General features: G+C 33.5%; 1 long non-coding RNA gene across 1 annotated transcript; it reads left to right on the forward strand.

The window, feature by feature from the left end:
• The first annotated feature begins 1,703 nt into the window (after positions 1-1,703).
• On the forward strand, positions 1,704-12,346 carry LOC124902647 (uncharacterized). Its single transcript, XR_007062626.1, has 2 exons — positions 1,704-1,854; positions 9,022-12,346. It is a non-coding gene; the product is annotated as an uncharacterized LOC124902647 (long non-coding RNA).
• Positions 12,347-14,061: the final 1,715 nt, after the last annotated feature.

Consider the following 14,061-nt stretch of genomic DNA (forward strand, 5'->3'; position numbering starts at 1 on the left):
CAAAATTTTAATTTCTTACTGCTTAGTTTTAGCTTTGTAATATCACTCTATATATACTTAGTTTTTGAAGTTTTAAAATTGTTTATCTTCTACTTTAGGTTAATGTTTATTTCTTTTTTTTTAGAAGTAACTCAATTTATATTTATAGATTTGCTTCTGTTAATCTCTGTGTCTGTCAGTGAACATCTGTGTTTCATTTTCCATAACAATTTTCCACTGTAATTTAATTCTCTTTAGTTTTTGATCCAAGAAAGGAGAGATTGGCATACAAGGAAATGGCACCCTTCAGACTTAATGTTAGTGAGTTTGTTTAACTTTGTTATTTGTAAAGAAGAAAAAGGAAAAGATAAGCAATTTATCCTCACCCCTGTAAGTTTGTTTTGGTTGTGGTAAAATTTCTATATAAAGACTATGATTAGTTCATATGTAAATTTCCAAGACCAATTCCCAATTGATAAGAAGCATTTCCTTAGAATTTCTGTACTAATTTATAGCATACCTTTGCTTAATGCCATCAATTGAACCCTGTAACTATTTGAACTATTTCTTGAGAACCTGGAAAATTACAAACTGGCAAAGACAGAATATTGCTCATGCCAACTAAAATTATTCATGAGACTCTTCTACTTGGAAGAGGCTACATTTTCTGTTCCACATCCCAACATATAGAGGACACTTGATAGTAATTTTCAAATAAAAGGATTATAGACATTTCTTCTCCAATTTTTTTTGGTGAGGGTATATATTTTTCTCATATCTTTTGTACTCACAGCAAGAATATTGTTCATTTTAGTTTTAATGGACCTAGGGCTAGCACAATGTGTTTAACATATGAGACTCTAGTACTCCTTAAATAAGTTAATAAATTCATTAATAAATGACCATTCATTTAATCTACTTTTTTAAATTAACTATATCTTTTATACATAAATTATGTTAATGATATTGGAAGCTTAAAGTTTGCCTTAGAACTTCATATTGTTATATATAAAAATGCTGCTTTTTAAATTTATTATCCAAAAAATTTAATTCAGTATCCTTGCATGAAATATTTTATTCTTTTCAACAGATATTTTTATAAGTTAGATTTGGTCTTAATATCAAAGAGCTCATGTTCTGTTTGTAAGAAAAGATTTGTACAAAAATAAACAGAAGTTAAAACATGCTAAAATAATTGTTTTGAAAGGTTACTTGGGATTTGAGGGAAAGAAGACGTAACAATTTCCTCAGAGTATGGCATATTTTCACCAATTTTGTGCTGTAATAATTTCTTAGGAGAGCTTCTTGACTCATCTTGGAAGAAGAAAGTGTTTATAAAAATTGTAATTCCCAGGTAATTGATTTTTTACAACCTTGCCACAGATACTTCAGGAGCTTATAGGCGATAATATCACCATTTGAACAAAGTTTCATCCTGACAATTCAATTGATGGTGCTAGATGACAATAGAGATTCACAGCACTTTTGGATAAGGTACTAATCCGTTTGATTATTCATGGTGTAGTGTTATAAATGCAAGAGGTTTAGACACGAGATCTTTTCCCTGTTTCTTGTATTTATGAAATGTTTTTAAAAACGTAAAATTTATCCTCTTAAAATTAATATTTCTAATGAGCAGACGTGAGCATATCAAAGCAAAAACAGCAAAAAAATGTGTACTAAATTTTAAAAAATGTATATAAAATAAATTTGGTTTTGCTTTTAGATTTGCTTAAGAAGTATGTGGAGGAGGGTATTCTGGGAAGACGGCAGCATCAGAAGCACCAGGATTTGTTTACCCACCTAGACAACAATTGTACTGGCAAAATATTTCTGATGTAAATATTTGGAACTCAGGAGGCAAAGGCTTGGAAGGTAAGCTGCTGCTGATTTTTGTCAATCTCAATTCAGAACAGTGGTAGCTACCCATTACCCACCCCTAGCCCTATGGTAGGCAGCTGAACATGTGTCCATGCAACAGCTTGCACACAGTTTGCAGGAGCCAGAGTGGGGAAAAACAAAAGGAATCTCTCCTCCAAATATCAGGGATCTGTGCCTGGATCAATGATTGCTGTGTCTGATCACAGAGGTACAGACAAAGAAGCACATGGCCATTGTTTTTACACTTCCTGGTATTATGGCAGCCCCCCGCCCCCTCCTTTGTTTCAGAGGTATTGACTTGCAGGCGATTTAAAGGGCCATCACCCTTTTTTTCACCCCTTCATTTCCCTCTTTTCTGCCTTTTCGGATTGAGACATTAAAGAGTAGGGCAACTAGTCTTTAATTCAGAAAATTACAAAGTAAGTCCACATTCCCAGAGAATGATGCAGCCTTTAAAAGAACCTGAAAAGACTTTAAGTTTATACCCCATGCTGATCTTTGGCACAGAAACATATTACAACAATTAAAAAAAAAAAAAAGCAAACTCTAGGGAAGGGGTGGGAATCTAATTTCCAGAGTTAGCAAATAATTAGATTTAAATGTCTAGTTTTTAACAAATAATCACAAGTGATACAAAGGAACTGGAAAGTATAACTCATTCAAGGAATAAATATAAATGAACCAAAACTATTCTTGAAAAAGACATGATGACAGATCTACCAGACAAAGATTTTAAAACAACTATCTTAAAGATGCTCAAAGAACTAAAGAAAGATGAGGGAAAGTCAGGAAAATGATATATGAACCAAATGGACATCAATGAAGAGATAGAAAATCTAAAAAAACCCCAAAATTTTAGAAGCAAATAGTATAATAACTGAAATGGCATTCATAACAGAGAGATTCAAAGACAATTTTAAGTAGACAGAAGAAGATGAACTTGAAGATAAGATAATGTGAATTACTGAGTCTGAGGAACAAAAATCCTAAAAAGTATGAAGGAAATGAATAGAGCCTAAGGGACCTGTGAGACAACATTAAGCAGACCAACATACACATTGTGCATATCCTACAAGAAAAAGAGAGGAGGAAGTGGGTAGAGACAATATTGAAGAAATAAGGGCTGTAGACATCCCAAACTGGATGAAAGGCCTAAACATAAACATCCAAGAAAATCAATGAAATCCAAGTAAAACGAACTCAAAGAGATCCACACTGAAACACATTATAATCAAAATTCCCAAAGACAAAGAATCTTGAAAACAGTGAGAGAGAAACAATTCACATACAAGGAATTGTAGATAACATTATCAGCAAATGTGTTATTGACAATTGTGTAGGCCGGAAGGCAGTATGCCAATATACCCAAAATGCTAATGTAAAAAGATTGTCAATCAGGAATTATATACCCAGCAAAACTAGCCTTCAAAACTGAGAGAAAAACTTAAGACATTCCCAGGTAAACAAAAGCTAAGAGAGTTTATTGCCACTAAACCTTTCCTGTAAGAAAATCTCAAAGGAGTCCTGGAGAATGAAATAAAAGAAGACTAGATAGTAACTTGAAGTTTTACAAAAAAAAAAAAATAATAATAATAAAGAATTCAGTATGTGTAAATACATGGGTAATTATAAAGGCTAGTATTATGGTTTCTAATTGCACTTTTAGTTTTCTGCATGATGTAGGAGATTATTACATTTTAAAAAGAAAATTATTAGTCTAAAACTTAGTATTATTACAATTGGTTTGAAATTCCATATTTCCAATATAACTTAAGAAACTAATGGATATGAAAGAATTATTAGTTTAAGTTTTTGATCACACAATATATAAAGGTATAATGTTGTGACAATAACAACAAAAGGGGTGGGGGTACAATTGTTAAAGGAATAGAGTTTTTGTATATTATTAAAGTTAAACTGGTATAACTTCAAATTAGTGTGTTATTGCTTTAGTATGTTAAATATAATCCCCAAGTGCTATGGTAGAACAATTTGTTCCACCTTCCCCAAAATTCAGAAGTTGAAAAACTATCCCCAAAGGTAATTTACTGTATTAGGAGGTGGCCTTTGGGAGATAATTAGGTCATGAAAATGGAGCCCTGATGAATGGGAATAGTGACATAATAAAAGTGGCCTGAGACAGCTCTTTCACCTCTTCCATTCTGTGAAGATACAGCAAAAATATGATCCTCAAGATAAAAGTTAATTCCTGTCCTAAAACTTTATTTGATAACTTGCAAGACATCATAATGGCATTAAATCATTATTAAAAGCCTAGCAACATAGACAATGAGAAGGCAGTTCTGGGTTACAAAATATTGACTAACAATGTTCCTGAACTTAGAAAAAAACGAACAAACAAACAAACAAAACACTAGAGTTAAGCCTATCATGAAATCTATTAAATTTCACATGACTTTCTACCTACTCCCACAAAGGTTACTGTTATACCATATCTAATTTTCCAGAGAAGGGTGTTGTGGTAGTCTTTTCTCTTATTCCTATAAGGAACTACCTGAAACTAGATAATTTATGAAGAAAAGAGGTTTAATTGACTCACAGTTCCACAGGCTGTACAAGAAGCATGGCTGGGGAGGCCTCAGAAAACTTACAATTATTGTGGAAGGCAAAGGAGAAGCAGGCACATCTTCACATGATAGAGTGAGAGCAAGAGAGTGAAGGGGAAAGTACTACACACTTTTAAGCAAGCAGATCTCCTGAGAACTCACTCATTATCATGAGAAGATCAAGGGGGATGTCTGCCCCCACGATCCAGTCACCTCCCACCAGGTCCCTCCTCCAACATTGAGGATTGCAATTCGACATAAGAATTGAGAGCATACACAGAGCCAAACCATATCTGATGTGATTCTAAATAGTAACTAGTTACATAAAAACAAAATAAGCTTTCAACTACAGGTATTATGGGAATTATTTTTGATGGTAAATTTGGAAATTTCTTGGCATACACACGTAGTATTAGAATTGTAACATTTAGAGCTTAAAAGGGCATATTTTTTATTTATTTGAACATTTAACAATTATACAAAGCTCCATTTTCCTATGTTAAGTAGTACATTGTGTCCTATTTATACCATTGAAATCATTTTGTAAATGGGATGAGTCACTTAGTACATGGAATCATGCTGCTTAGATTAGCATCTTGGTTAATAATTTAGTAGCTAGAAGGTCTTGGGCAAAACAATTTATATTTCAGTTTGCTAATCTTTCAAAGAGGATAACTATAGTAGTACTAATGCCATAAAATTGTTCACATAGAAGAATGTATGACACAGAGTAAGTGATCATTGTCAGATGCTAACTCTAACCTTGTTAAGCCAAATATTATAGGTGATTCCTAATTTTAACCAAAATTTCCTAAGAATTAAACTCTTCTTTGCCTTCCCTATCCCATATAAACTAACTTTATGGTTTTCTAAGGAAGAAAAGAAAAAAAAGAGAAAATTTTCAACTTTAGTTACAATTTTATCCTCATCTTCCTACTTCTCTATTACTGGGAAGGAGAGAAGAAAAGGAGAAAGAAAATGAAAGAAGAGGATCAAAAGTCTTCTCCAATGACACATTTGGTATTTGGGATCCACCGGAAAGTGTCCAGGCAGATTTAAGCAGATTTAGATGACGTGTAGCAGATGAACAATTCATAAGCAGATGAGTTTCATCTTTTTGTTTGTTTTTGTTATTGTGTGTTTCTTTTTTAGCCTTATGCTGTTGAGTATAACTCTGTCATATGAATTTCCTTTAATTCAGTCACCAAAGTTTCTGTTCAGACTCAGAGTCCTCTCTTCTCTGTCAATAGGCCTTTATCAACCATCTTTTTACTGTCTTCTGAATCTCCTGTATGACCTTGCATTATAATCCTTTCTCCAGTTAATGTCTAAGCCCTCATTTAATGAATTGAAAATTGCACTGAAGCCCCAGACTCTGAATATGAAAATATTTAAGGATATTTAGTCAATATCTTGCTTGCATTTTCCTTTTTATGTATAAACAAGTGTGTTATAGTAATAAAACTTCTATCTAATATGGATTAAAGGAACTCTTTTAATAAGTACAAAATAAGAAATTTGTTAAGGATAAAGTTTAGTTGACATTTTTTTCCTTAGATGTACATTAAGGATATAATGTCTTATAGTCAGAGATGTCTCAGAATAGATGACTTATTGTATTCCCATATTCCCATTTTTTTTTCTGAAGAAACTAGTGCTTAGTGACCTGGCATAATTTTTAATGAATGGCAAAGCTGAGATCTGAGTACAAATAGAGAATACTTAATATAAGCAAACTGTAAACATCCAATTGTTGATTGTAAATGTAATAAAATTAAAACAATCAAGAATGAAGTTAATTGCCACATCAGACAAATTATTTGAGACACCTAAGATTTGCTCCTGGGGAAGAGATTCTCTAATTCTGTTGTTCTCCAACAAGAGGAAAGCAACAGAAAAAGAAATACCCTGGGCTAGAGGACCTTGCCCTACCCTCTAATCTTTGACATTAAACTCAATTTAGGGCTTCTGAAAAACATTATGGAAATAACTCCAAATATTGTTTTTCTGCCATATGTTCCCTGGGTCTGCCTCATTCTTCCCTTTCTGATCAGAAATGTGAAGTACACATACTATTACAAGTGAACCATCTATGGCATTAAATTAGATTGGATTTAAAAATACCAAATGTTATATTTTAAGAAGTTTTCAATTCAAACTATTTTCTAAGCATGCTATACATTTTCATTGTGCCTTCAAATTTGCTTCCCCCTCTGCCAAAGTCACCCTTCTCTGATTCTATCCCTGCATTTAAAGCCTCAGCTCAAAAGATTGTTTCTCTTTCTAGAAGTTTTCTTTGCCATACCCTCTACTCACCTTGTTATGGTTACTTCCTCTTCTCTGTGTTTATATACTACTGTAATGGCCAGGAAAGAGCTTATATTTAATCATTTCTCCTCCCATGCTAACCAGTGAGCTCTTCTGTGTAACCCTATGTGCCCATTCATATTGTAATTCTTGATATGTCATTACTGAATTTTAAATGAAAAGAAAAATACTGGAAGGTAATTGGATTTATAAATTTACCCTGCGTCATTTTGCATAGTTCAGCAAGTCATATAATACAAAACTCAATGTGAGTTTTGAAACAAATTGGCTGAAATAAAACCTTCATGAAGCACTAAGGAAGAGAAATGGTTTTATCATTCTCAACAAAATATAAATGCAAGGACTTAGCAGGAAGATGAGGGTGTGGTTTTATCCAGCTAAGCAATTTCTGTAGAAAATAAATTTCACTTAAAAAAATTAGGCCAAGAGTGCAATACAATCACCTTAGTAACTTACCTTAGTAAAGGTTCCTGAGGGTCTATGATGCACTTTAGATTTTTACTGTAACTTGATTAAAAAATATATTAAAAAACTGAGTGATAAAAGTATTTATCTCCCTTATTCACAATATATGTCTATCAGAAAGAATGAGATATTTCCTTCAGGAGAAAAGTAATGGAAGTAATCATTTGCATTACCACAGCCATTAAATGGGTTTCTGGTGTTGGACTCCATATTTTCTGTTGTTGTTTGTAAATAGTACATAAAAGATAGTGAGATGTTACACAAAAAAATTAGAAGTAAAGAAAATAGAGTTGACCTCTACAGATATGACTAGTTTAAATCTCAGACAATGGGATGAGATGTAAGAAGTTTGTTAAACTCACTGAAAAAAATTATCTAGATTATAAAATTAAAAGAAACATGGTACCAAAAGAAGAAAGTAACTAAATTAGAAAATTAAATTTAGACTATTCCACATCCCCGAATTTGCTCTAATCCTTTACTCACCAAGAATGTATCTTCTTGCTATTTTGCCTTCCAAAAAGCTTATATAAAGTCTATGTTTGTGAGTGTGTAGGTAGAGGGGATTCTAGTCAACCTTTTTTGATACAAGGATGAGAATCATTAGAGCTTTCGAAAATTCATTAAGTTAAAGTCCAGCTTTTGAAAGACCGCAATCCTAAGCAAATTAATGCAGGAACAGAAAACCAAATGCTACACGTTCTCATCTATAAGCAGGAGCTAAATATTGAGCACACACAAACATAAAGATGGGAACAAGAGGCACTGGGGACTACTAAAGGAGAGGGGAAGAGAAGTGTGGATTGAAAAACTGCCCTTTGGGTACTATGCTCGCTGCCTGAATGAAAGGATCCATGCCCCAAACCTCAGCACCACACAATATACCCATGGAACACACCTGCAAATGTACCCCCTGCATCTAAAATAAAAGTTGAAATTAAAAAGAATTAATTCATTATTGTTTTCTTAAAGCCCAGCCTTGAGGACTCCTTCAGTTGACCTTTTCTTAGAGGAAACACCAATTTTACCTCACTACTACTGTATCTGCTTTACCATCATTAGTTTTTCCTTTGATTTTTATCTTAACAATTTATATGACCATATCCCCTATGTTAATTTCTTTTCCTTTCAAGGCATAAAAGTAAGAAACTCTCTACCTACAGCAGTTACACTTATCTCATCCTCCTAGAATCCAAGGCATGGGTGTGATATTACAAATCAGTCATACAGTTCCACCTAAATTTTCAGCCATATATGATATCTTTAATTTGCAAAGTGAGGCTTGGCTACCTTGCAGGACAAATTATTTATCTTTTGGGGTAGTCCATTCCACCAACAGCTCTAATTGTAAAAATATGTATTTCCCTAGAGCTTCCAACAACTATAACCAGATCATGACTTAGGCCGTAGGGAATGTTAGACCTTCTTGTGCAAATCTACTTTCCCAGGCTGTACTTATATCCCCGTTTTTTTCAATTTTTTCCTTAAACAGTTTTGACACACATAGCCAGTTTCCTTTCAATAACTTCTGTTTTATCTATTTAGTTCTTAGAGAGTAGTTTTCTCTAATGATTGTATCATCTTAAGGATATTCTGACAACTGCTATAGAGTAGACTGGTACTTATTTGTCATGGAGCAACTGTGTCTTCCCAAAATTCATATGTTAGAATCCTAACCATCAAAGTAATGGTATTAGAAGAGGAGGCCTTTGGAAGGTGATTAGTTTATAAAGGTGGAGAACTCATCAATGGGATCATTGAAACACAATAAGAAACACAAGATATATGATTTCTTTTTCAGTCATGTGAAGATACAATGGGAAGACAGCTGTGTGCAAACCAGGAAGAATTCTCTCACAGATGCAAGATTTGCTGGCACCTTGACTTGGACTTCCCAGCCTCCAGAACCATGTGAAACAAATGTTGTTTAAGCCACCCAATCTATGGTATTCTGTTATAGCAGCCAGAACTTATTAAGACACTATTTTACATAGCATTCTCAATTATGATGCCATTTGCTATTTCAAAGATGGGTGGGTGTGGCATATCACCATTGAGACATATTTCATAAACTGCCAGCTGAAACTCAGTGTTTTCACTTCCTAATGTGAAACATTTGAGTCCTGTCTCCTGCATCCTACAGTTATGCATCACTTAGATTGAATGAGGAATCCTGTCTTTCATCATTCACTTTACTTGACCCAACTGATGAGAGAAATCATATTTCTGACTACTCCAGTGAAAATTACCCATATTGTTAATTTTTGTTGTTGTTGTTAAATTATCTATGGGCTCAAGAGGCCATGAAATATAATCCACTGAGATAATCGTAATTAAGAAGTGTTTTATGCAATTTGAGTTGTTTTCACTGTGGCCTCTGTGCAAGAATATTATAAAACCCAATTTAGAATTGTTTTTCTGAAACAAATTAGTTGAGCAGCGACTACCTTTCAGTATCTGCTTCACAAGGGAGTGGCTGAACTCCTGCAAAACTTTCATTATGTTCTTGCTTTCTTACTAGGAGTTTAATTCTCTCCATAGGTAAATTCAGTTTAGAATTTATTTTTCAGGGTTGTCTGCAATTTATTTTGCATTATTTGATCTTGTAATATAATCATGGAGTATTATGGTTGCATAAGCATACAAATTCAAGAATAAGATGCATGCACTTCTCAGTAAGGTTTTTCCTCTCTGCACTGTGCTTGGTGAAAGTGTTGTGTATGTAGATTAAAGAGAGGTGACAGCATGACAGATCCTGAAGGTAAACTGACTGGGATTTCAAATTCTAGTTGCATCACTTATTGATTTTTTAAACTTGAGGAATTTACTAACATTTATCTGCTTTGGTTTAACTACTTTCTAAATGGATTAGAAAATTCCCTGTGCCTCAATTTCTTCACCCATAATGCACAATATAGGTTAATCTTTAAATTGTGAGTTAGTGATTGGTTTGTTGGGAAAAATAAATGAATTTTTAAAATAGTTAAAATTGCTTGTCACATGGTAAGAACATGCATTATTCTCTATTTTATCTCTGTTGTAATTTTAGTATCTATGCCAAACCTATATCTGCAAAGTTATTTGATTTGCGTGTGTGTATGTACAGACACACTAAAAGAAAGGCATTAGGTTGTTGAATAGAAGCAAGGATGTCACTAATGTTAATAAACAAAATTTTACAATGTATTTGGGGATTGAAACACACACACACAAACACGCACACACATCATTACATATAGAAATACACAGCTTTGAGAAAATATTTTTCTATAATTTATGGGGAAGAAGTCATCTAATTCTATGACCCAGTCCAAAATATTTTTGATGTTTACCTTCAAAACAGTGAGATATACAGGTGTCTTAATTTTTTTGAAGCAAGATAATTTTTCTATAATATAATCATACTGGAAAGGTTGTATGGGCTTTTTTATTAATAAACTGAGCCTTAACAGTATCAATGCAAAAATTGCACTAGGCAAAGTTAAACAGGAAATGAACACTTTATTTAAGGGTATAGCAATGGGAGATAGGGACAACACACAGTCTGAACTCAACTCCACTGAAACAAAGAGCAGAAGGGTTTCTGAGAGCTGGGCAGGGAGAACTGTAGGCCCACTGCATTGTTTGCTAATTGGCCTCACCAAAAGGAAGATTAAACTTTCTTGTATCTTCATTGCAGGTGATAGTTGTACATCATGGATGAAGTCACCCACCAAACATAGGCTCCTACCATCCTTCAGAGAGTGGGAGATAGGGGTACTGTCATCCCTAGTTATTATGTTTCAAAAGAATGACTTCCTTGAGAAAGATAGTCCTTAATTGTAAAACTGGAAAAAGGCTTTTAGAAACATTACATTTTACAGGGAAGAGAAATAATGTACAATCGCAGGTTTTATAAAGCAAATGCTCTAAGAAAAAAGGAAGTCAGGGGCATACAGTCATGAAAAAGGTTGTCCAAAGTTTAGTCAAGCTGAGGGAAATGCTAAGAATATCTTTTGTTTATAATTTATAAATCTGACTATTTTAAAATTTAAACAAAACAATACAAAACCAGGATCATTTTGGACAGATAACCTCCCTTTACCTCAGCACGCTTATCTCTGAAATGGAGATTTTAATATTTGATTCATTTGATTTGTCGTGAGGTTTTAATTAAACTGTATAGGCAAACACTTCACAGGCTGGAAGATTATTTTTCAATCATTACAAGAGCTGTTAGTTTTATCACTGGCATTATTTTTCCTCCATAGTACAATTTAATTCCTCTATACAATGTCAATCTACCACTCTGAAAAGCTGACTCAATAAGTATTTTAAAGGAAAATGAAAAAAATATTAACCAGGTGTTCTGGCAATAAGCAATACCACTATTATCACCATACTAGTTAATTACTGAAACAGTGGAGGCTGTGTTCTGAAAAAAAAAAATTTACTGGCTTCAATAAAATTAAAATCTGATTTGAACAAGGAAATAAAAATCTGACATCATAAATATCCTTTTCACATTTATATACAGGTATGTGTTCCCATTCAAATGAAATCTGTTTTAATAAATAATTATTATTTTTGTCCTTATTACTATATTTTTGACACTGGGAGATATTGAATACCAAATCTTAAAATTGTTAAGGGAAATGAGGATTTTCTATATCACCATCTGCTGTTTGCAACGTTTGTAGTTCCAATGTTAATAGTCTAATTTGTTAAACGACAACAAAAAATCCATGTAAATGTGCTGTTAAATTAATGGTCCCAGTCTTAGGAGGTAACTAGATGAGTAAAATATGTTCTCTTTTTGAAAAATAGTGCTGGCTCTTTGCTGTAAATTACCTCTTTTAAGAAGCCAGATGGTGAGTGGAAAAAGTAATTTAATTTAAAAAGCATAAAGTGTATTTAAACATAGGATTGAAATGAATATTTTATGTATATATATTTATACGATTGAACATGTTCCAGAGATTTTACACTACTTCTAGCTGAAAATTATACAGAATGGATCAATAAAGAAATATAATAAGGATCATCCTGATTATATAGATCATCCTGCTAGAAGTATATCATTTAGCCCAGAGTATATTAAGATCTATATGGACAAGTAATAAAATCTTACTATTCTCAACTGGAAATCTTCTTTCTTTGAACATATTTTATGTGCTCATTTTACAGACCCTCCTAGAGATATTATTTCTCAGTATGTCAAATATAACCCACACATTTTTATGTTAAATGGTCATTGGTGACTACTCATATTTTTTCTGGGATTCAGTGCTTATGACATGTCAACCGTTAGTCTATTTCGGTGAAAATTTTCCAAGAATTTTTCAATTATCTACTAAGCTTTAAAGATTATTTTAATAAGACAACTATTTTCTGTACACTTGATTCTTTTCAGAATTGTATATTAGGTTATTTAGGAGGAACATAAAACATATACTCACTATTGTAGGTAAAATAATGACCTCCCAATGTTGTCCTAATGGCTAATATATGTGAATAAGCAACTATATATGAAAAAAAGATAGATATGTTGTAGATGTGATTAATACCTTGAGATAAAAAAAATCTTTACTAATTTGGATGAGTCCAAATTGGACTCATCCAAATTATTAAAGATCAGAGTCACAGAAAGAAATGTGATATGTGATATGAGCAGAGGTCAGATAATGCATGGCCATGGGCCAAAGAATAAAAAAGGTAGCATCTGAAAGCTGGAAAAGATAAGGAATCTCATATCCATTTAAAGCCTACAAAAGGGACAGTCCTACTGACACCTTGGTTTTAACCGAATGATACATCTGATCTATAGAACTTAAGATAATATATTTGTGTTGTTTTAAATCAGTTTATTGGTAACTTACTATAGCAACAATAGGGAAATAGTATAAACTGCATCCCCCAAATTGTGTGGGCTAGTCATGTAGACAGAAATTACAATCTGAGAAACGTATGAAACAAATTCTATGATATTCAATGGGGAAAAGGTTGTGATAAAAAGTCATCAAGGTCTTTTGAAATATACTGCTTGAATGAAATAGATTTTAAGTTAGAATGTGAAAAATTAAAATTAAAAATGTTTAAACTGAATATCTCTTCATATTAGCAAATTTCACCAAAACTTGCTACCTATTATGCCATTGCATTGCTGCCTCTTACGCCGTTACATCTCCCAACTAGCCTGCTGGAGTCCCAAATTGTATCTTACAAGTGCTTATCAACATCCTTATTATAAATTTGTTGTCAGAAGCTCTCTTCCGTGCCTTCTGTCCAAAAAGCCACTTGAATTCTGCGTGATACTCACAACTTGCACAACAGCCCTAATGCCATTGCTAAGGGTTCTGGTCCCTAGTACTACCCAATCAAAACATAAAACAAAAAGCTACTATGACTGCCACCACCAACAACAGGGATTGATAGCAAAAGTCAAGTTGTATTCCACTGAGATCCTGCAGTGCCAGGGCCACATAACCACCATTCTTTTCTAACTCCTGCACTTTGTCACTTGCCAAAAACTGAGTGAAAATATCTCATTCAGCTTTTGGCTTCCATCCTATCTGTATAGTTGGAGTTCATGGAGCAGAAAGAAAAGGAACTATCTAACATAAATCACGGGTTAAAGTGATTCTCCTGCCTCAGCCTCCCAAGTAGCTGGGAGGCATGCGCCACCACGTCCAGCTAATTTTTGTATTTTTAGTAGAAGATGGGGTTTCGCCATGTTTGCCAGGCTGGTCTTGAACTCCTAACCTCAGGTGAGCCACACGCCTCCGCCTCCCAAAGTGCTAGGATTACATGCTTGTACCACTGTGCCTGGCCTTAAACTCGTATTTTTTATATAAATTAAATC

This window comes from Homo sapiens, chromosome 11 (genome assembly GCF_000001405.40).
Source record: "Homo sapiens chromosome 11, GRCh38.p14 Primary Assembly".
Lineage (NCBI taxonomy): Eukaryota > Metazoa > Chordata > Mammalia > Primates > Hominidae > Homo > Homo sapiens.